The following is a 22,842-nucleotide window of genomic DNA, read 5'->3' on the forward strand; positions in this document are numbered from 1 at the left end:
CAATTGCTCTTTGGTGTTCAGTGGATTTTGTGTCATTTTTTGTGTCTTGTGTAAGAGAAGGGTTTATTTCAGTCCTTTGCACATGAACCCCCCAGTTTGTTCAACCATTGTGCCTTTGGTGTGCTTTTGGGGGAAAAGCAAGAATCCCATGGATTCAGTGTTTATAATTGTGGGTTGATTATTTGGCTCCTTTGTTGTGTCCATTCGGTTATCTTTCTGTGTTCATGCCACTAATGGATGGATTGGGCCACTGTAGGCTTTTTCTTTTGTTTTGTGTGTTTTCTTGTATTTTTTTCCTTTTTTTCCATTTCCATTTCCAAAGCTGGGTTTTCTAAAATGATAGCTACTTTTATTGTGATGGAGGGGTGTATGCCTGCAGGTTCATTTCACTACATGGCTATACAGCAGACTTTTGATGCTTGAGGTCCCAACTTACCCGTCACCCAGGCAGTGAACACAGCACCAGTTGGATCATTCTTCCTCCAAGGCTTCCTGTCTCCCTCCTTTTTCTGTCTGGTAGTACCCAACGTCTGTTGATTTCATCTTTATGTTCGTGTGTGTTCAGTGTTGAGTTTCTGCCTGTAAGTGAAAATCTGTGGTGTTTGGTCTTTTGTTCTTGCCTGAGTTCGCTTAGCAGAGTGGCCTGCAGTTCTATCTATGTTGCTGCTGAGGGCATGATTTTGTTTCTGTGTTTGATTTTCCTTGGTGGCTTCTTAGTATTCTGTGGTGTATAGGTATCACATTTAAAAACACCTGATTTTCTGTTGGTGGGCATCTAGGTCAGGTCCACGTCTTTATTCCTGTGAGTAGCACTCCCATGAACATGCAAATGTGTGTGTCTTTTTGATAGACACATGTATTTTTCCCTGGGGTAGATACACAGGGTTGGATTGCTGGGTAGAAGGGTAGCTCTGCTTCCTTTCCCTCTTCGTTGTTGTTGTTGAGGAATCTTGAAACTGCTCTCCGCAGTGTGAGACCTAGTTTGCATTACCCCAAGAGTGTAGCTGTTTTCGCTTTTATGTACTGCTACACAAATATGTTTTGTGTTTGGACAAATGGCCATTCTGACTGGTGTGTGATGGCACTGGTACCTCATCTCTGATGATTAGTGATGTTGAGCATTTTCTCGTGTCTGTTGGTCTTTTTTAGGTCTTGTTTTGACTAGTGTGTTTGTATCATTTGCCCATTTTTTACTTGTGTTATTTTTCTGCTTCTTGATTTAGGTAAGGTCCTCTAGATTCTGGCTGTTAGAACTTGGTCAGATGCTTGGTTTGGGAACATTTTCTCCCATCATGTAGGCTATGTGTTTACTGTGTTGGCAATTGCTTTGCTGTGCAGCAGGTCCGTAGTTTCTTAGGCCAGACTTGTACTTTTTGTTTTTTCTTGCATTTCTTTTGGGTACTAAATTGTCTTAAGTGGTTTGCAAAAGCCTATGTTGAGAAAGGTGTTTAATAGGTTGTCTGTTAGGACTTTTATATTTGAAGTCTTCTATTTCAGTCTTTGGTTCATCTTGAGTTAATTTTCCATATGATGACAAGCAGGGCTGCAGTGTTAATTGTCCCGCACATGGCTAGTCATGTATCCCAGTGCCATTCATCGCATAGTGAGCCTTTTCTTTCTTATTTCTGTGGTTTTGTCAAAGGTCAGATGGTTGTACTTCTGCCAGGCTACTTCTGCATTTTCTAACTTGTCTAGGTGAAAGCTAGGTCATTTTTTTTCTGTTACGATCTATTCTGATTTCTTGGGTTCAAGAACAGATAAATAAATTTTAGAAACTGAAGAACCCACTTAGACATTCTCAAGGTTAGAAACCATCACCATCATCCTATTCTGTGATGCTATGGACTTTATTGAGTTACATCTTTGCCCTTTTCCCTCAAGTCTCTCCTCTGGATTTATTTTGTGAAATTAGATTCTGAATCACATTTTGTTGCATAAACTGTGCTTGAGCAAAAAAAAAATTTTTTTTTCTAAAAACATCCTTAGTATACATGGGGTGAAGAACAACAAACGTGTCTCCTCTTTCCACTAGTCACACCATTACACTCCTTTCCAGCCTCTTTGCTGCTGCATATGGCCATTCAAATGAGCCCTGGCTAAGTACATGTCGATAGAAGTTAATGTTTGCTTCTTGCAAGCCTGGCCCGTGATTCTATGTTCTGATTTAGAACATTCTGATTTAGAACATAAAAAGGAAGTGAGACTTGCTGAATGAGACAGAGAAAGCACTCTTGAACGCTTCCTCTGACAAGCTCCGAGGCACACTAGTTGTCTTGCAGTGCTTTGGACAGCTACTCATTTGTTGGACAATAATTTCCCAACATGGGGACAACCCAGAACATTTTCCACGTTCATATTCTGCTTCAGTTGCTCATGGTTTTGGTCAAAGCTAGACAGTGACTAATGCAGGAGACTCAGACCCCAGGCCAGCGTGGAGTCCTGTGGTTGAAGACAGGCTGGACCGTCAGAGGAAGAAAACAGCCATTTTTTCTGGATTTTCACTTTCTCTGTTTTCAGGAAACCTGAAGCCGGTTATGTTATTCAGGCATGACTGAAAAGAGATTATTTTGAGTTGTTTTGGTGGCACCAAGAAATGTGCCAATGTGACGGCCAAAAAAGCAGAAAGACCAAGGCATTGAGTGTGGGAGAGCCACTGATGATGCTGGGTTTGGTAGGCTTTTCGAGATCTCCCAGCCCCAAAACAGCCAAGCAACTTTGTCCTGGGTTGTGAGTGGGCTCAGCCCCTGTGTACACCCATGCTTGGATTCTGGCACACATGGCACCCACAGGAGGCAACGCCCCCTCCAGGAGACCGGTTGGCAGGACCCTGTCTCCACACGTGAAGACAGCAGGCAGAACCCACACGTCCTCTACTTCTCCCAGTGCCAGTCACCCGTGGGGGTTCACGATGAGACCCACAGGTCCAACCTGCAGGCAGAGTTACCACCCCAGCCTGAGTCAAAGTGGACCTTTTTCTGCCAGAGGGGTCTGCTTTCCCATTGGCCAAAATGGCCTCAAATGACAGGGACAGAACAAGGCACAAGTGCCCATTAGAGTGTCTGAGCCCACCTGCTGTCTGCTCCCACACATCTCCTGAGAGGTCCCAGCAGGCACCCAGGCCTGGGCCACAGCTTACCCCACATTCAGAAGTGGATAGCACAGCTGCCCTGTGCAGGCCTCAGGGAGGAGAGGGAGAAAGAGAGATGACAAAAGCAAGACAGAAGAAATGCAGCAAAAGCACACACACACACACACACACGCACACACACACTGACACTCATCTGGGGCAGGCCATCCTGTCACCATGACGAGCAGTGCAGGCAGCCGAGAGCCGGGCAGGAGGCGGTGCCGCTGTCCCCTGAGTTAGGGTCTGGATCCAGGGAAGAATATAGAGTCCATAGAGTCAAGGGCCACTGACCTCAGGACCTGCAGTTTGCAGGGAGGGGATGCTGTGAGAAGAACTGTTCCACGTCACAGCTAAATATGTCTGACTTCAAGAAAATATTTCAAACCAAAGTACATTTATGGAAGATTCTCGATGATATAAAAAAAGCACAGTTTAGAAAATGTGAAAGCAATCACTGGACAGATTCATATATTTTCATCTAAATTTAGTTACAGAGTTTTTCTAAAACTGGGATCAGGCCAGGTATGGTGGCTCAGGCCTGTAATCCTAGCACTTTGGGAGCCTGAGGCAGGAGGATCACTTGAGACTGGGAGTGGGAGACCAGCCTGGGCAACATGGTGAGACCCCTTATCTCTACCAAAAATACAGAACTTGGCCAGTCATGGTAGCACGCCCCTGTAGTCCCAGCTACTCAGAAGGCTGAGGTGGGAGGATTGCTTGAACCTGGGAGGTTGAGGCTGCAGTTAGACAAGATTGCACCACTGCATTCCAGCCTGGGTGACAGCCCGTCTCAAAAAATAATAACAATAATTCCTGATTTTAATAACGATTCTGGAGTTGTGTAGGTTCTCACTCACGTGGGAGCTAAAGAAACTTGATCCCATGGACAAAGAGAATACAATGGCAGTACCAGAGGCCGGGAAGACTGGGTATGTGGAAGGGAGAATGAAGAGAAGTTGGCTATTGGGTACAAACCTACATTTAGAAGAAATAGGCTGTAATGTTTGACAGCAGGCTGTGGTGGCTAAGTAATATTATTATGTGTAAATATTCAAAGTAACCAAAATACACATTTTATGCATGTAACAAGTATTTGTATGTACCCTACAAAGAGGTAAAATATTATGTGTCAGTAAGATGGAGAGGTTATGCCCAAGCCTCCAGAGAGGGGCTCCTTGGATCCACACAGCACATCTTGCCCACCTGCATCCATTGCTGCACTATGCTCGTCATATCTGGGCCTTCATGTTCTGGTCCCCAAGGCAGGTGATGCTGACTCAGGTGGCCACACTGTGGACCTGGGTGTTGGTGGCCCAGAGGGTGGGTGCTAGAGGCTTCCTGCCCTTCTTGTTCCACTGGGACCAGATGGAGCCAGGCAGTGACAGGCTACCACCTTCTTGACCAGATCCTGGAACACAGGAGTGTCTCACCTGGCCCCTCGTCATCCCAACTTAGCACCCAAAGTACCTTCGGGCCTGGACCATGGCTGGGCCGGAACTCAGGATGGTTAGGATGCAGCTCAAGCCTTGTGGCATCTCTGGGTTCTCTGTCCACTGAGGGTGCCCTGGGACACAAAGCTGGTGGGAAGAGGTTGGCATTTCCCCAGCCTATCCTTACTCATGCCAAGCACCCCAGACTGTCCTTCCTGGTGCATTGCCCTGGTCACATTCCCCAGGGCAGCTCAGGGCTTTGTTTAGGGATTTCCCATAGTCAGGTGCCTGATAAGTGTTGAGATGTGCAAGGCCACGTGGGCAGATGGGTAGGTACTCTTTGTTGAGCACCCCCAGCAGGGCAGTCCCCCACCCAGGTGTCTACCTGCTCCTGCTTGTGTTTGACTGTTACAGCACCTCATGCCAGGGCCACCAGCTCCCATCCCTCCTGTCAGGAAGGACACAGACAGCAAGCGTCTGGGGGTAAGGCATTTGCCAGGTGACACAGGTGGCGAGTGCCGGAGCTGGGATTTGAACCCGGATCATGGCACTCTGTATGGGGCAATGGAAGGTTTGAGGATGCCCATGTAGGAAGGAAGGGCAATGTGGCCCCACTGAGCCCAGCTGCTCCCTGTGAGCCTGGAGGAAATTGCTCAGCCCCCCAGCTGGGGGGAGAGTCCAGGAGGCCAGGCTTCCTCTTGCTTCCTGGCTCAGGGGATCACAGAGGAACAAGGAAATTTAGTGTGTGTGTCTTCTTTTTGTTTCATTCAAAATTTAATTTAGTATCAAGCAAGAGGAGCTTTAGCTTAACCCTGCATATCAGGCAAGATTTCACTTACAAAATAGTACCTTTTTTTTTTTTTGCACTTGTGATTGGCTTTTCCTCTACTTCTTTTGGTAAGAGCAGGTTGGTGTCCAGGCTCAGAATCCATTTTTCCTCCCACACCAAAGCACCTGTGGTTTGGGTGAAGCAGACTGGAGCCTGGCTGCATAAAGCTTTGCAGCAGGAGAGTCCTGGCAGGAGCGTTGAAGTGCCACTGCCCTGGTCCAGCTCAGAGGCCAGCACCAGGGAGGCTCAGTGTCTTTTTCTCAGGATCTGCACATGGGGTTGCCTTTCTGCATCTCCCCATCAGTGGTAGGTGCTCCTCCAAGCCCCCTCTTGCTGGCCTGGACACAGCGGCCTGCACCTTGACCCTATTGCATGCCAGTGGAGCAGAGCCCCCCAGGCCAGAAGCCCCACAGATGTTGGCCCTGGCTTGGACAGGCAGGGGGCACCGGGGCAGGAGCTGGCTGCGATCCTGTGGCCCCAAATGCCCCCTCGCTGATGGCCTCGTGTTCTGGGTGTGGAGCAAGGAGGAGCAGGTATCGAAGGCACCTCAGGCAGGTGCTGGGCTCGGTGGGCGTCTTGTGCTCCATGATTTTTTTTTTCAAATTTTATTATTATTATACTTTAAGTTTTAGGGTACATGTGCATAACGTGCAGGTTTGTTACATATGTATACATGTGCCATGTTGGTGTGCTGCACCCATTAACTCGTCATTTAGCATTAGGTATATCTCCTAATGCTATCCCTCCCCCCTCCCCCCACACAACAGTCCCCGGTGTGTGATGTTCCCCTTCCTGTGTCCGTGTGTTCTCGTTCCATTCCCACCTGTGAGTGAGAACATGCTCCGTGATTTTGAGGCCATTTGCAGCCAGCTCCGCCAGCCGGTGCTCTGAGCTGCAGCAGCGGCCATGCACAACAGCACCACCAGGAGTGTCCTGGGGGCTTTCTTCAGAGGAGGCTGTCAGCATCCTCAAGTTCCAGCCACTTAGCCCCAGTCCTGCTTCAAGAAGCTTTTTCTTTCACCAGAGGCTTCTCAATGGCCTGAAAGCTCGGCTGACTCCCAGGAAGTTTGCCGGGAACACCAGGCTGTCAGTGACATTTGTGGTTCCAAGACTTATGCAGGTTGCACGCATCCGCAACTGTCTGTGCCACGTGTACTGACACCACCAGAGATGCGCACGCCGCACGCGCACGCCGCACGCGCACGCCGCACGCGCACGCCGCACGCGCACGCCGCACGCGCACGCCGCACGCGCACGCCGCACGCGCACGCCGCACGCGCGGCAGTGGCTTGGCTGGCTTGTAACGGCTTGCACGTGCATGCCGCGCGCGCACGCCACACGCGTGGCAGTGGCTTGGCTGGCTTGTAAGGGCTTGCACGTGCATGCCGTGCGCGCACGCCGGACGCGTATAACGGTTTGGCTGGCCTGTAACTGCTTGCACGCGCATGCCGCACGTGCGTAATGGCTTGGCTGGCCTGTAATGGCTTGCACGCGCATGCTGCACGCGCGTTAACGGCTTGGCTGGTCTGTAACAGTCGGCATGCGCACACTGCACGTGCGTAACGGCTTGGCTGGCCTGTAGCGCTTGGCTTGGCTTTGCGTTCTTTGCTTGGCTTGGCATTTGTCGCTTGGATTGACATTTCTTCCTTGGACTGACGTTTTTTCTGTCACGTTACTTTGCTGGACTTGACCTTTTCTCTTCTGGGTTTGGCATTCCCTTGGGTGGGCCGGGTGTTTTCTTGGGGGGTGGGGTTGGCCCTTCCTGGGGTGGGCGTGGGGTCGCCCAGCGTGGGTGTGGGCTTTCCCCAGGTGGGTGTGGGTTTTCCCTGGGTGGGGTGGGCTGGGCTCCCCTGCTGGGGTTGGCAGGTTTTGGTCGGGACTTTTCTCTTCAAACAGATTAGAAACCCGGAGTTATCTGCCAGTTGGTGAAACTGGTTGGTAGACGCGATCTGCTGGCTACTACCGGCCTTCCCTGGCTGTTAAAAGCAGATGGTGGCTGAGGCTGGTTCAATGCCGGCTGCCTCCTCTGTGAAGAAGCCATTTGGTCTCAGAAGCAAGATGGGCAAGTGGTGCCGCCACTGCTTCGCCTGGTGCAGGGGGAGCGGCAAGAGCAACGTGGGCACTTCTGGAGACCACGACGATTCTGCTATGAAGACACTCAGGAGCAAGATGGGCAAGTGGTGCTGCCACTGCTTCCCCTGGTGCAGGGGGAGCGGCAAGAGCAACGTGGGCACTTCTGGAGACCACGACGATTCTGCTATGAAGACACTCAGGAGCAAGATGGGCAAGTGGTGCTGCCACTGCTTCCCCTGCTGCAGGGGGAGCGGCAAGAGCAACGTGGGCACTTCTGGAGACCACGACGACTCTGCTATGAAGACACTCAGGAGCAAGATGGGCAAGTGGTGCTGCCACTGCTTCCCCTGCTGCAGGGGGAGCGGCAAGAACAAAGTGGGCCCTTGGGGAGACTACGACGACAGCGCTTTCATGGAGCCGAGGTACCACGTCCGTCGAGAAGATCTGGACAAGCTCCACAGAGCTGCCTGGTGGGGTAAAGTCCCCAGAAAGGATCTCATCGTCATGCTCAAGGACACTGACATGAACAAGAAGGACAAGCAAAAGAGGTAACCAGGCCTGGGCTGGGAGGAGGTGGGATGTGGGAGGATGATGGGGACATACCCTCCTGGCCGGGGAGGAGGGGAGCCTGGTTTTCTTGCCTCCACAGGCCTCACACCACCCTGGATGTGGAAACCTCAGAGAGTTCAGGGCACAGGCCCCTTTATGAGCAGCAACACAAAAACAAAACTTTAGCTGATTTCCAATCAAATCATAATTTCCTTCCTAGAACACGAATAGACTGTTTTGAAGTGATTTAACTCGCAACGTTGTCGATGCAGCAGATTATTTTTAATGTACAGATTTTAAAACAATGTTCTATACATTAAAAAAGTGTATATTGAGAACTAAGAATGAAGCCCCATAACACATCAACTTCAGGGCTAAATATTCTTCAAATAAAATCCAGTATGGATTTTATATCAATGTACACTATGTAAATATGTTCTTTACTGAGTAATCTTAGAAGGAAACTGAAATGGGAAGATGGTTCTTGTGCTTGAATAGGAAGATTGAATTTTCTGAAGATGTGAGCTTTTTGGCTGGGCGTGGTGGCTCACACCTGTAATCCCAGCACTTTGGGAGGCTGAGGAGGGCAGATCATGGGGTCAGGAGATCGAGACCATCCTTGCTAACACGGTGAAACCCCGTCTCTACTAAAAAATATAAAAAAAATTAGCTGGACGCGGTGGCAGGCACCTGTAGTCCCAGCTACTCAGGAGGCTGAGGCAGGAGAATGGCGTGAACCTGGGAGGCGGAGCTTGCAGTGAGCCGAGATCACGCCACTGTAGTAGAGCCTGGGAGACAGAGCAAGACTCCGTCTCAAAAAAAAAAAAAAAAAAAAGTGAGCTTTTTCTATTTATCACTTTTACTTAAGCCAAATAAAAATAGCAGTTTTAGAGTTTTTAAATTACACATGCTGTCTTTTATTATTGTGCTAAGTTAATTTTTTTGTAGCAGAATGGACAAAGGCTTGCTTTTCCAGATGTCAAAATGTGCATGTTATTTATTTCCACAAATTGTTTACTAACAGCTGAAAAGACATCAATGAATAAAACAGAACAGGAAATTTAGAAATACCGAAATATATGTAGGAATTTAGCGCTTGATAATGGTGATGTTTTGTATTATTTAAAAAAGATGGATTGTTCATAATTCATTTTTGGAGAAAACTAGCTAGATGTTTATATCACAAAAATCAGAGTATAGATTAAAAATTTTAAATATACAAAAAGAGAAACATACCAGAAGAAAACACAAGTGCCTATTTACATATGCAGATACATATATATATATATATATATATAAATTTCTTTTTTTTTTTGATGGAGTCTCACTCTGTTGCCCAGGCTGGAGTGCAGTGGTGCGATCTCAGCTCACTGCAACCTCTGCCTCATAGGTTCAAGCAATTCTCTGCTTCAGCCTACTGAGTAGCTGGGATTACAGGCGCCTGCCACCACACCTGGCTAATTGTTTTGTATTTTTAGTAGAGATGGGGTTTCACCATCTTGGCCAGGCTGGTCTTGAACTCCTGTCCTCGTGATCCACCCACCTTGGCCTCCCAAAGTGCTGTGGTTACAGGCGTGAGCCACCATGCCTGGCCTATATATGCAATAAAATAAGCACATTTTAAAATTGGGCAAAGTACTTTTTTGCATATCTACCAGTGACCTATGTGCATAGGAAAAGATAGCATTCCTGGTAGAAGAAGGAATTTAAGTTAGAAGAGGAATGAAATACTGTTTTCTATTTAAGTTAGAGGAGGAATGAAAGGCCAGGTGCAGTGGCTTACGCCTGTTACCCCAGCACTTTAGGAGGCTGAGGCAGGTGGATCATGAAGTCAGGAGTTTGAGACCAGCCTGGCCAGTGTGGTGAAATCCTATCTCTACTGAAAATACAAAGAATTAGCTGCGCATGGTAGCATGCACCTGTAATCCCAGCTACTCAGGAGGCTGAAGCAAGAGAATTGCTTGAACCAGGGAGGTGGAGGTTGCAGTGAGCCGAGATCGTGCCACTACATTCCGGCATGGGTGACAGAGTGAGACCCCATCTAAAAAAAAAAAAAAGCATGAAATACTGTTTTCTATCCACAAATGAGGATGAATAACAGTGGTACTTATATAGTTGTTTAAAGTTTAAGTTGCTGCAGCTTTTCAAACAGGCACTTTAGTGGTAAGAACCACATTTTAAAAATGTTATGCTTTTTACTCATCAGTTCCATTATACTGAAATATCTTCACCAAATAGATGTCTGTTTTTCTTAGTATTGCTTAAAATAGCAGTGTATTTAGAAAAGCCCATATAAAGATTTCATGAACAAATTTCAGTGCATCCATAGGACGGAATAATATGTAACTATTGAGGGTGTCAGTACATAGAGATATGTCGACATGCAAAGATGTACCTTGCTATAGCAAGTGAGAAAAAAATCAGTTTGTTACACATATACACGAACAGAATCTGCTCTTGTGTTAGCTGAAAATATGTAGAAAATATAATCAAACTTGTTTCTGGGGATTTGTAAATGAAGTTTTTCCTTTTATCTGTGATTTCTGCAATGAACATCTGAACTTTTAGTTTAGGTTCATTAGTAATGACATAATCCTTGGGAAGAGAAGGAATATGCTTCTTGCATAGATGCAAATAATTTCTCACATTCTATTATTTATTTTTATTTCTGTGGTTGGCTATCTACTGTGAACTTTTACCCTCTTCAGAAGTAGAGGGATTGTGTTTACCTGTTCCTGTAGATTTTATTGTATATAGATTTTATTACATAATTACCTTTTCATTATATATAGATTAACATGTAAAAAGTATGAATTAATCATTTTAGTTGAGTTATATATTTATGAAAATTAAAATAGCAAATATAAATGATATTACTATTGCAAATGTATTGCCCTACTCTACAGGAGTTTTCTTTAAAAATATTGAACTCCCAAGCTGTGTTCATCCATTGTTTTCAATCCGTTTAGTCATCAGACATAAGCCAGACACCTATTATGGGGCAGGCATATTCTACTATCTCTCAGGATCCTTCCATCTTTGAAAACATTTATGTTTGCCTGCTGGGCTTGAGCAAGCTGAGAGATTTAAAATTGGGGCATTAGGACTTAATCTCAATTGAAGCTTCTCCTCCCTCCTTTCAAACAGAAGCATTTCTGAAGGTAGAAAATAGTAAAAGACAACCCTTAACTGCCCTTTTGAAAATGTATAAGTCTTGGATAAAGACTGTTTTAGTTGTTTTAAGAACTAAAATGTGGTACATAAACAGCATGGAATACTATGCAGCCATAAAAGAAGGAACGAGAGCCTGTCCTTTGCAGGAACATGGATGGTGTTGAAAGCCATTATCCTTAGCAAACTAACATAGGAAGAGAAAACCAAATACTGTATGTTCTCACTTATAGGTGGGAGCTAAATGATGTCAACACACAGATACCTAGAGGGAAGCAACACACACTGGGGCCTATCAGAGGGTGGAGGGTGGGAGGAGGGAAAGAAGCAGGAAATAGAATGAACGGGTACTGGGCTTAACACCTGGGTAATGAAATAATCTGTACAACCAACCCCATTGGTGCACGTTTACCTATGTAACAAACCTGCACATCCCGCACATGTACCCCTGAATGTAAAAGTTGAAAAAAGCTCCACAAATAGTTTCATAAATCCATTTTAAAAAGAGAAAATTTATAACAGTCTTAAATCCTAATATGAATGATTGGAAATATCTGATGTACATACATTGTATAAATCTAAGTATTGAAAAAAATGAGCCCATGCTATTCATTTCAATTCCAAGTTTTGTTTGGCTTAAAGTTTATTGAAAACCAAAGTAAGAATTGGTTTATTTTAGAAATTTGTTTTTGTTTTCACTTCAGCTCTCTTATTCCATAGTACTTTTAAGAACTAAAATTTAAATGCTGGTCATCTGACTGGAACCGCCCCAGACCTGTTACATTATAACATATTCTACTTAATGTAAGGCACCAGAGATTGTATGATGCCCCATTATTTTATGTCTCAATAAGAGAATTATTTAAATGCCGCCAATTATAGTAAATCATGAATTGTAAGTGGTATTTCAGTGGAGACAACATGGAGACAATGATCATCTCAGAATCACTAAAATACAATGTTAGCTGTAATATTTAAAACACACCTGAAAGTGTAGGTATAATTGTATCATCTCACTTAATTCAAATGTTGTCTTTAGTGGTATTAGTAAAAATCATAATATCTAACAATTATTGAGCTGTTATTTGTGTTAGGAACTATTCTGTATCTTTTGTGCCGAGTCTCATTTAAGCATTACAGTGGTTTCCTGTGAGAAAGCTACTATTTTCATTCCTATTTTATTGATGAGGAAACTGAGACCCCAAAAGGCTAAGCAACAGCCAGAAAGTGACAGAGCTTCAAGTAGGATTCCAGCCCAAGTTGAATGTCATCCAAGGGCTATGCTCTTTGTATTCATATAGGCTGCTCTTTCATTAATACAGCGAGTAATGAGAGATAATAAATCGTGTGCTTTTTTCATGGGAAAGTTAAATGTTTGTTTTGAAGGCACAGTAATAGCAGGCTATTCAGTGTTTGCGATTATGTGTATCATTGATATGGCTGTAGCTAGTGCACTACAATTTCCTAAAAAGTCTTCTCACCCTCATAGGACTGCTCTACATCTGGCCTCTGCCAATGGAAATTCAGAAGTAGTAAAACTCCTGCTGGACAGACGATGTCAACTTAATATCCTTGACAACAAAAAGAGGACAGCTCTGACAAAGGTATGCAGTAGCCAACTATGTCAGCGTGAAGTGGGTTTGATTTCAATACATAGCATAAAAATGAGTTTTCTCCTTTAAATATAACTAGTTGGTGAAAGCTGTGGAATGTTATTTTGAAATCCTAGGATTTGTAATTTGTTTATGGTGTAATACTGACAGGCCGTACAATGCCAGGAAGATGAATGTGCGTTAATGTTGCTGGAACATGGCACTGATCCGAATATTCCAGATGAGTATGGAAATACCGCTCTACACTATGCTATCTACAATGAAGATAAATTAATGGCCAAAGCACTGCTCTTATACGGTGCTGATATCGAATCAAAAAACAAGGTATAGATCTACCAATTTTATCTTCAAAATACTGAAATGCATTCGTGTTAACATTGACCTGTGTAAGGGCCAGTTTTCCATATTTGGAAGCTCAAGCATAACCTGAATGAAAATATTTTGAAATGACCTAATTATCTAAGATTTTATTTTAAATATTGTTACTTTCAAAGAAGCATTAGAGGGTACAGTTTTTTTTTTTTTAATGCACTTGCGGTAAATACTTTTTTTTGAAAACACTGAATTTGTAAAAGGTAATACTTACTATTTTTCAGTTTTTCCCTCCTAGGATTCTTTTCCCCTAATGAATGTAAAATGGCAAAATTTGCCCTGAAATAGGTTTTACATGAAAACTCCAAGAAAACTTAAACATGTCTCAGTGAATAGAGATCCTGCTTCTTTGGCAAGTTCCTAAAAAACAGTAATAGATACGAGGTGATGCACCTCTCAGTGGCAAGGCTTAAGATATTTCTGATTGCTCATGAGGCAGAAGTGGAAAGGGAAAAAGAGAGCAGTCAGAAATATCAGGGCCAATTTGGAAATTAGGCAATAGAGGGAAGAGACCATGAAGAGGTTGTGTGTGTGTGGTGTTGTTGTTGTTGTTCATTTATTTATTTCCTTTGTATGGTGAGACAAAGTTCTCTTTGATTTTAGAGAATGACAGTTTTCAGTTTGGGAGAGGGAGTTAGTGGGTTGTAAACTGCCTAGAGATGAATTTTAGGAGGCCTCTGAGGAACCAGATTGGCAGTGAATAGGTGGGTAATGTAAGGGGAAACCCTTGAGCAGGGGGAATATCAAGTAATTAACTGACTTAGTATCCTCTTCTGGTAGAAGTGGCCAATTAGAGCCTCAGCTCTGCTTTCAAATCTAGAGTGTCTGGATGGGAAGGTGGAAGATAAATGAGTAACAAGATCAAGTTGGATTTTGAGTTGACTAGATACTGTTGTGTTACCGGGAAAAATTATGTGGTGTTTTCAGCAAATGGGTCTCTCTCCTACTCTTTACTCTTTTTGGCCAAATCTTCAAATAAGAAAGGGAATTGGTTATCTGGGTGGTGAGAAATGAGACTGAAGTAATTGTCTATTGTACTAGCTTTCAGCTAGAATTGTGCATCCCAGTAACCTGAGGAAAATTTTTAAATAATCAACAAGTCTAGGCTTATTCCTGAAGATTTTGATACAGTAAGTCTAATAAAGCTTGGATATGTATATTTAAAAATGTTTCCTTGAAGCCAGGCATGTTGGTGCATGGCTGTAGTCCCAACTGTTAGGGAGGCTGAGGTGGGAGGATTGCTTGAGCTCAGGAGTTCGAGTCTAGCCTTGTCAACATAATGAGCCCCTGTCTCTAAAAACGACAGCAACAATAACAACAGCAACAATTTTCTCAAAATCTGGATACACTCCTGCTTAAGAACCACTGAATACATAAATGTAATATATAAATTCTTATATCTCAGAAACTTAAGGTATCTCTAGAAGAGTTGGAGTTGGATATGTGCTGATTTCTTTAAATCTTTCCTTTCCAATAACATTAATCTGACTTTTTTTTTTTTTTTTAGATTGAGTCTCACTCTGTTTCCCAGGCTGGAGTGCAGTGGTGTGATCACAGCTCACTGCAACCTCGACCTCCCGAAGCTCAGATGGTCCTCCAACCTCAACCTCAGTTGTTTTTTTCTTTCTTTCTTTTTATTTTTATTTTTATTTTTATTTTTTTTTAGTAGAGATTTGGTTTTTGCCATGTTTCTCAGGCTGGTCTTGAACTCCTGGGCTCAAGCAATTCATCCCCCTCAGCCTCCCAAAGTGCTAGGATTACAGGTGTGAGCCACCATTCCTGGCCTAGTCTGACTTTTATCTCTGTGGTTGAGACATTAAAATGAATATTATTGGTAGTATCTATCAGGTTACATATCAGGTTACAGAATAATATATTTTCCTTTCTACCATCAGTTATTCACTGCCATTCAGAAGGTCTTTAGTAGTTTGCTGTGAGCAGTCTTTCAATAAGTAGAGGATGGCCCTCTCAGGATTTTGTGTCTCTTTGTTCAGTCATTCAAGTGCTTAGGTCAGTAAGTCATTAAGAGCAGAGTTTTCTCAATTGGAATTAAGCAAATTCTAAACTGTTTTTTATCAATTGAAGCTGTATTGTGGACTGTCCAGTGTGTCTCTTTAAGTATGTAGAGCTTTGGCATAATCAGCATGGCAGTTTTACACACTTAAAACCATGGAGTTATTAAGAATGCAGATAGGAATTCTGTTAATTTAGTTTCAGTAGTCCTATGAACTGATTATTTAGTAACAATCTGGGAAAGTTAAATATAAATAGATTTTAAATAAATAAATGTTGGAAAATTTTTTCAGATGGGCAGTGTGAGTTTTAATAGCAATTTTTGTTGCATGTTGGAGGTTGAACTTTCAGTAAAACATGAAACTAAAGAAATATTTTACATGCAAATTCTTGCTTTATACGCAATTTATCTTAGGGTTGAGGATATAGAAACAAAAGATACAGCCCCTGCCCTCAAGGAGCTCTTTGTTTAGATGGGAAAAATATTACCATCCAATAATACCATATCAAATGCTGGGTTAGAAGCAAAGAGCCTTGGAAGCAGTAAATGTTTAAAGTGAGTTTTTGAGATGAGTAGAGTTACTGTGGTGAGGCAGAGAAGGGGTGTTTCCAAGGGAAGGAGCAGCGTGTGGGAAAGCACAGAAGAGTGAGAAGGAAGCGACTACATTTTATTTACTTTCTATGCATGTAAGTCCATAAGATCTTATATAAAGTTTCCACTTCGGTTGAGGAATATGTACTTTTTTGAATTACATACGTTTTTGCTTTATATTGTTTTACAGCATGGCCTCACACCACTGTTACTTGGTGTACATGAGCAAAAACAGCAAGTGGTGAAATTTTTAATCAAGAAAAAAGCAAATTTAAATGCACTGGATAGATATGGAAGGTATAGTTCTTTCTTTTAATCTGTGTGTTCTAGATGGATAGCAGTCACTCAAGTCATAAATATTAAATTAATAAGATTAATGTATACTTATTGGGATATAGTGATCAGTATGAACACAAATCAGTTCGGTAGAAAAACAATTATTTGGACTGGGCAACATAAAAGTTTTAGTAGGATTCATCTTTTATTATATTGACTGATGTTATTTGCTATGTAATGTTTTTGGTTACATGATCTTATGTTAGCTAAAGGGATTTCATATTTTATGAAGTTTGAACTTTAATTTTAGTTTACTTTATGACTCAGTATTGAACTTCTTAACCCTTTCTAATAGTTTTTAACCTGTGTCTTACATGCTTTTCCACTAAATACGCTGTATTAACCATAAATAGGGGTTGAAAATCCTTTTGTCTTTTCAATGATTCTGCCTTAAGTTGCTTTCTTTGAAGAATATTAATGTTAGCTTATCCCTGCATGACAATTAATTGCTGTTCCCACGTACTGTGGGTTCAACAGCTTTTTTCCTTTTTTATTTCCAGTGTATTTTGATGTTTTTATTTTTAATTGGTATGGAGAGAGGGAGTGAAGATAGTTTTAAGTGGATACACTTTTCCTTTAATGAAGACAAGCCGTAGGTGGGTGATAAAGAGAAAAAAGTTAGGCTTTAGATTCACACAATACTGGTTTTAATTCCTAACTTTCTTACTTGCTAGGTGTGTGACCTTGGGAACGTTATTTACCACCAAATATGTTGTCATATATGAAAAGTAGGAGAATATATCCTTCAAAGTTTGCTGTGCATAAGAAAGATATATGTGGCATTTAATTCAGTGCCTAGCACATGCTTATTGGCATCATTAACTGAAACTCCTGTGACTACTATTCTTACCATTATTATTAATCTTACTTGCTTTCAGCATGCAGAGAGCTCTTAGTTATTTTACCCCCTAGCTGATTTTCTATTACAGCATATCAGTCTAGGGAAGCTGTGATGAAATCTTCACTTAAATCTTTGTTCATTTCAGATAAGTGGCCCTAATATTGTTTCTTGTCCATCAAAGGACTTTAAATTAGTAGCTTCTGCTATGCAATACCCCACTGAGATAAGAGGGTTTTTTTTTTTTTGTCCCTTCCTTTCAACCTTGGTGGTATTTTACAAAGATGAACACTTGAGCACTGAAGATGCTTATGTCTTTTAGTGCATGTAAATGTTTGATTCTGCACGGACAGGCAAGATGTTAAATTGGTAAAGTATATCAAATTAGCTTTTAAAATAACTTTATTACTGTTCCTATCTCTGTCATTTTAGAACTGCTCTCATACTTGCTGTATGTTGTGGATCGGCAAGTATAGTCAGCCTTCTACTTGAGCAAAACATTGATGTATCTTCTCAAGATCTATCTGGACAGACGGCCAGAGAGTATGCTGTTTCTAGTCGTCATAATGTGTAAGTGTTTACATTAAAAGGCTAGTTAATGCTAAATTGAGGTTTAAAATAATTATAACAGTTACATCTTACATATCAGGTGAGATGTCATAGTTCAGTTCAGGTAATTTTCGTGTGGCAGTGAGCTAGTCCCCTGCATCAGCCAGAAATCAGACAAAAAACAAGACAAGTTAGAAGTACCAGTGGGTGCAGGATTCTTTATCTCAGGACTTTTAAGACCTTTATCCATAGAGATCCCAACATTGTTCATTTGATCCAAGTGTAGCACCTATGCATGGGATAAAAAATAGTATCACATCTTTGATTTTTCTGATTAGTTATTTGGGTCTTGAAATGTCCAGTTTATCAGAAAGTCTTGTACTGTCTTCTGGGGACTATGTCCTAGATACTCCTTGAATTTTTCAGGAACCAAAGGGGTTCACTAAATCCAAGGAAGACGGTCCCTTTTATCAAGTCAGAAGGAGGAGAAAAAAAAGGACATTGCAATCATTCTGTTGTTTCCATTGATTCTGCTGCTGCATTGTTGCCACTCAGACTGGTCCTGCTGCCTTAAGATGAATCGGTAGATTCAGGTCCCTCAAGTCTTCATGGCAATTGATACAGTGACTTTGATGTTTTTTGTTCCCATACCTATGGTTATATGCTCAGCCATTGTTCCCAAAGCAGCAGCCCCCTGCTCTGGCCCCTGGGCATCCTGACTTTATCCACACACAAAATGAGCAAATTGACCCTTCCCCCCATATTCAGAACCTAATGTGGAACCCACATCTTAGCCAAGAATTAGCTGAGACCTTCATGGTAAGAGATCCTTTGAGGCCGTTGTTGGTCTTTTCTCTAGCAGATATTAGGTAGGCTTGTTCTAAAGGGTCAGAGGAGTTCCAAAGGGTCAGAGGGGTGGCAGAAAGAGATCAGTGTTTGTTTCTTCTTCTTTGCTACCAGATCTATACTGTGAGGCACCTTTATATCCTGTATAGAACCTTGGGCAGTAGAAAGTCCCATATGAACCTTCCCCTGAGCAGTGGCTCCCAGCTGTGGTTGGCCCCTTGAGTGACCCGATTTACATGATAATGAAAATCGTCCAAGCTACTTCCATCTCTAGCTCAAGATTTTAAGATATTTTCAAACTCTAGCTCACAGGAAGCCATTGAAGAGAAATCTCAGAATCTCAGGTAGGTTAGTTGGACTCAACAGAGCCAAGCCTTGTCCATGAAGCATCACTAGGCATGTGTAAAAGTAGGGCTTTGTGCTTGCTTCGGCGGCACATATCCTAAAATTAGAACAATACGGAGAAAGTTAGCGTGGCTTCTGCATAAGGAGGCAGCACAGATCTTTGAAGCATTCCATATTTTGTGCAGTCACTGGAAGGTCATTTGACTATTTGCTGACTAGCTCTAAGGAAACAGTGTGAATCAAAGCGAAATGGGTGCCACCCAAATATTGAAATTGTGATTTGCGCTGCAAAAATAGTCATGTAAGATGGTCTATGAGATGACTTAGAGCTGAATAACATGTTTGGTGCAAAATATATTGTTAGTATGTATGTCGAAAATGACAGAATGTCAGCTTGCTACTTCTTCATGGAAACTAAAAAAAATAAAAGTAGACTTTTGGTCTCCCATGTCAGCCGGAATTGAACATCAATATAAAGCATCATTGTAACCAACATCTGCGGGCTCAGAGTTTGAGTCTGTAGAGAAGGCTCATTGGTCCAAACCAGGTCTTAACATCCATTGGTTTTTCTGCCCTTGGTGTGATTGATCAACTCCGTAATAGTGGACAATCACATTATCTACTTTAATGAGATATTTAGGAATACATTTAGTTACAAACTATGACATAGTTGAGATGCCCTGAAATATAAGCCATAAAGAGTAGGACAACTAAGAGGCAAAATTCGGACTTAATAACATTTTCTGAAAACTACAACATTTGCATATTAGAACCTATGAACAAAATACGCATTGGGTTTTATTTGTGATTCCAAGATAATTTTAGTCATAAAGTTTAGGAAGAGATTATTCCATTGCTTTACTATTTCTCTCAGCATTTAAAAAATGTGATCTCATTAAATTTTTATCGGAACCTAGGGAAATAAGGCAGCAAAGTCCTCACTTTGTTGAAGAAGACATTGAGCCTAAGAGAAGCAAGTTGTCCAAGAACAAATAGCTGTTCATTATGGAGCTAGGACTTATGCAGAGTTGGGACACTTTCTATTATGTCAGGTTAATGCAACCTAATTTACTGGGTCACATGCCCTCGATTTATGAGTATTTCACCCTACATTTTTTTCTTCTTTAATTAGAAGCTTAAAGAGAAGTTTGCAGAATGTACTCATAAGTGGATGGGATAATACTGTTAAGTTCTGTTATTCTGATATTGTTTGAAATACTGTTAAGAATTTCACATTTGGTAAGTATTTTTTATATCAGTATTAAAATAGTAATTTGGTTTATTACAATTTTATACATAGAATTTGCCAGTTACTTTCTGACTACAAAGAAAAACAGATACTAAAAGTCTCTTCTGAAAACAGCAATCCAGGTAAGACTTATAACAGTGAATTACTTTAGGTTAGTTTTCCCCAACCTTTTTGGCACCAGGGACCGGTTTTGTGGAAGACAATCTTTCCATGGGCTGGGGAAAGGTGGGGATGGTTTCAGAATTATTCAATCATGTTACATTTATTGTGCTATTTTATATTATTATTACATTGTAATATATAATGAAATAATTATACAACTTACCATAATGTAGAATCAGTGGAAGCTCTGAGCTTATTTTTCTGCAACTAGATGGTCTTATCTGGGGGCAAAGTGAGACAATGATAGATCATCTGGCATTAGATTCTCATACGAAGCACACAACCTAGATCCTTCGGATAGGCAGTTCACAACAGGGTTCGTGCTCCAATGAGTTTCTAATGTTATCACTGATCTGAGTGGAGGCAGAGTTCAGGCTGTAATATGAGCCATGGGGTGTGGCTGTAAGTACAGGTGAAGCTTCCTTGGCTTGCCTAGTGCTCACCTCCTCCTGTGTGGTGTGGTTCATAATAGTCCGTGGACTGGTATGAGTCTGTGGCCTGGGAGTTGAGGACCCCTGCTCTGGGTGGTTCTACCATAGATAAAAAACTAAAAGTAAGGAATTTTTGATCACAAAAGAACACTGAAGCACAGGTCATGTTACATATGCTTGTCCCAATAAGGTCTCACTATTACTGACTTCATTCCTCCTCATTTGAAGTTGGAAAGAGATATATTGACTTTTTTGGAACAAGATGTGTTCTTCTACCTGCTGGTTAATTGTCATGATAACAGTAATTTTGTTAGAACAAGATGCTCTGCTACCATTTGCCAAAAGAGTGTCATAATAAATATGCAAATTGCCCAACTCTAGGCTCAGCAGATTATCATAAAAGTAGAAAAATGTTTCACACTCACAAAAATGCTAGTATGCTACCTGATTGTAGACACCTAATACACTGTATAGTCCAAACTGTATGAGGACACCTTTAATTTAGCCATCTATTTATCAAAGAGCTTCTGTAAGTTAGGTTTTATAAGTTGCAGGAGACAAAAATGGAATAGATGTAGTTTTCATCTTTAAGGTGCTCATAATAGAGCTGTCTCCATTTCATTTCTGTGCTTTTTCAACAGAATTTACAAAGAAAACATTTCCATTTTCACTTGTCCACTTAACAGATAACTATCAAATGTCTTTTAGATACTAGCCATTTTTTCTAATGCTACAGAGCACAAACAATTAAAAGTAGAGACAGGAGCTTGTTATTATCATTGTCATTTTCATTATTTGACTACTTTATTCAGTGCTTACTGTGTGCTAGATGCCCACTGGAAGCTTATAATTATGATTTATTATATATTGATTATGTGCCAGACATATGTGATGAGGAATGAAAATTTTGGAAAAAAGTAGGTATGATTTAAGGTAAGCATGCAGAGAGAGAAGAATTTTTCTAGGTAAAGAAGCAGAAGAATAATGTTTGGCAGAAGGAACATGCAACGAGGTTGTGTGTTTGCCAGAAGGAACATCTAATGAGATTGCCTGTTTGGCAGAAAGAGCAGCAAGTGCAAAAGACAAGATGCTTGAGTGAACTTTGCAGGGATTCTGAGCAATTCACTTTTGCTAATACCAAAAGTGTGAGATACGAGAGGTTGGGAATGAGGTGAATACTTAGCTAAGGCAAGTTCATGATAGACATTTTAATACTACAGAAATGAGTAGGTTTTACCCCATGGGCCATGGGAAGTTTACCAGGTAGAATGCTTTGGACTGCAAATACTAGATGAGCGGTGGCTAAAACAGTAGGAACCAGAGTTGTTTTGTTTGTTCATTGATATCCTAGGATCCCACTTGTCCCTCTTTCAGCTGTGCTGTTGGCAGTGTTTTATTCACGTAACTGGGAGAAAACTTAGAAGCATGCAAGGGCTTCCTGTAATATTTCATTGGCTAGGTCAGAGTACCTGCTCATTCCCAAACCAGGCACTGGGAAGGAAAATACATGATTAGCTTAGAATAAACATTTCTCTTTCTGAGGCTGAGGAGGGGGATTGGGATAATAAATATCCCAATAGACTTGTGTTTCTTCTGCAAGAAAGAATAAGGAATGGCTATTGATAGGGAGCCAACAATGTGTGCTGCAGGGGCTCATTGGAGAAATTTGAGCAGGGGAGTCACAAGATTAAATTTGAGTATTAAGGCTTCTGGTTATGGTGTAAAATGGGTTAGAAAGCTTTTTCTGTAAAGGACTAGGTGGGAAATATTTTAGACTATGTGGTCTCTGTCATGTCTTCTTAACCCTGCTGTTGTCTGCTGTTGTAGTGTGAAAGCCACCAGAATTATATGTAAGCAAACAGGCATGACTGAGCTCCTATAAAACTTTACTCACAATGCCATAATGCAGATTGGATTTAGTCTGTAGCCTATAGTTTGCTGGGATTGATGGAAGGTTCTTTACTATGTAAAGAAACCAGGAGACAAAGGAAGCTTTTGCAGTAGTCAGCTATGGTTTCCTTGTCATACATCCTTGGAGTAGCATCAATGTATTACAAGGTTTTCACCTGTCCATAGTGAAATAAATAAAGTTAGGAATCTCAATTACTCGTTTTAATATGTTGGCCTTTTTTTTTTTTTTTTTTTTTTGGTGTTATGCTTTTTTCATTTGTTTAGCTTAATTTTTTTCCCGTAAGAAATAACATTAATTGTTGGCAGTTTTTTTTTTCATAAAAGCCATTTTGTAAATGTTCATGTTCCCAGTGGCAGTGGGAATACAAAATGGAGGCAGAAGAGAGGTATCGTCAATATGATTTAG

The 22,842-nt window shown here is 41.7% G+C and overlaps 1 protein-coding gene, 1 long non-coding RNA gene and 1 pseudogene across 2 annotated transcripts in view; 2 read left to right on the plus strand and 1 right to left on the minus strand.

Moving 5' to 3' along the window:
- The first annotated feature begins 7,323 nt into the window (after positions 1 to 7,323).
- POTEH (POTE ankyrin domain family member H) overlaps positions 7,324 to 22,842 on the plus strand; it is a 31,606-nt gene continuing 16,087 nt past the window's right edge. The window contains exons 1-6 of the mRNA NM_001136213.1: positions 7,324 to 8,007; positions 12,669 to 12,783; positions 12,943 to 13,116; positions 15,960 to 16,066; positions 17,376 to 17,513; positions 19,984 to 20,054. Coding sequence (NP_001129685.1) covers positions 7,376 to 8,007; positions 12,669 to 12,783; positions 12,943 to 13,116; positions 15,960 to 16,066; positions 17,376 to 17,513; positions 19,984 to 20,054 — 1,237 coding nt within the window. The 5' untranslated portion in view covers positions 7,324 to 7,375. The remainder of the gene's footprint in view (positions 8,008 to 12,668; positions 12,784 to 12,942; positions 13,117 to 15,959; positions 16,067 to 17,375; positions 17,514 to 19,983; positions 20,055 to 22,842) is intronic.
- On the minus strand, positions 17,684 to 20,652 carry POTEH-AS1 (POTEH antisense RNA 1). The gene is made up of 2 exons (NR_046571.1): positions 20,258 to 20,652; positions 17,684 to 18,780 (listed from the first exon to the last, which is right to left on the minus strand). It is a non-coding gene; the product is annotated as a POTEH antisense RNA 1 (long non-coding RNA).
- RNU6-816P (RNA, U6 small nuclear 816, pseudogene) lies at positions 18,757 to 18,863 on the plus strand (annotated as a pseudogene).

This window comes from Homo sapiens, chromosome 22, assembly GCF_000001405.40.
Source record: "Homo sapiens chromosome 22, GRCh38.p14 Primary Assembly".
Lineage (NCBI taxonomy): Eukaryota > Metazoa > Chordata > Mammalia > Primates > Hominidae > Homo > Homo sapiens.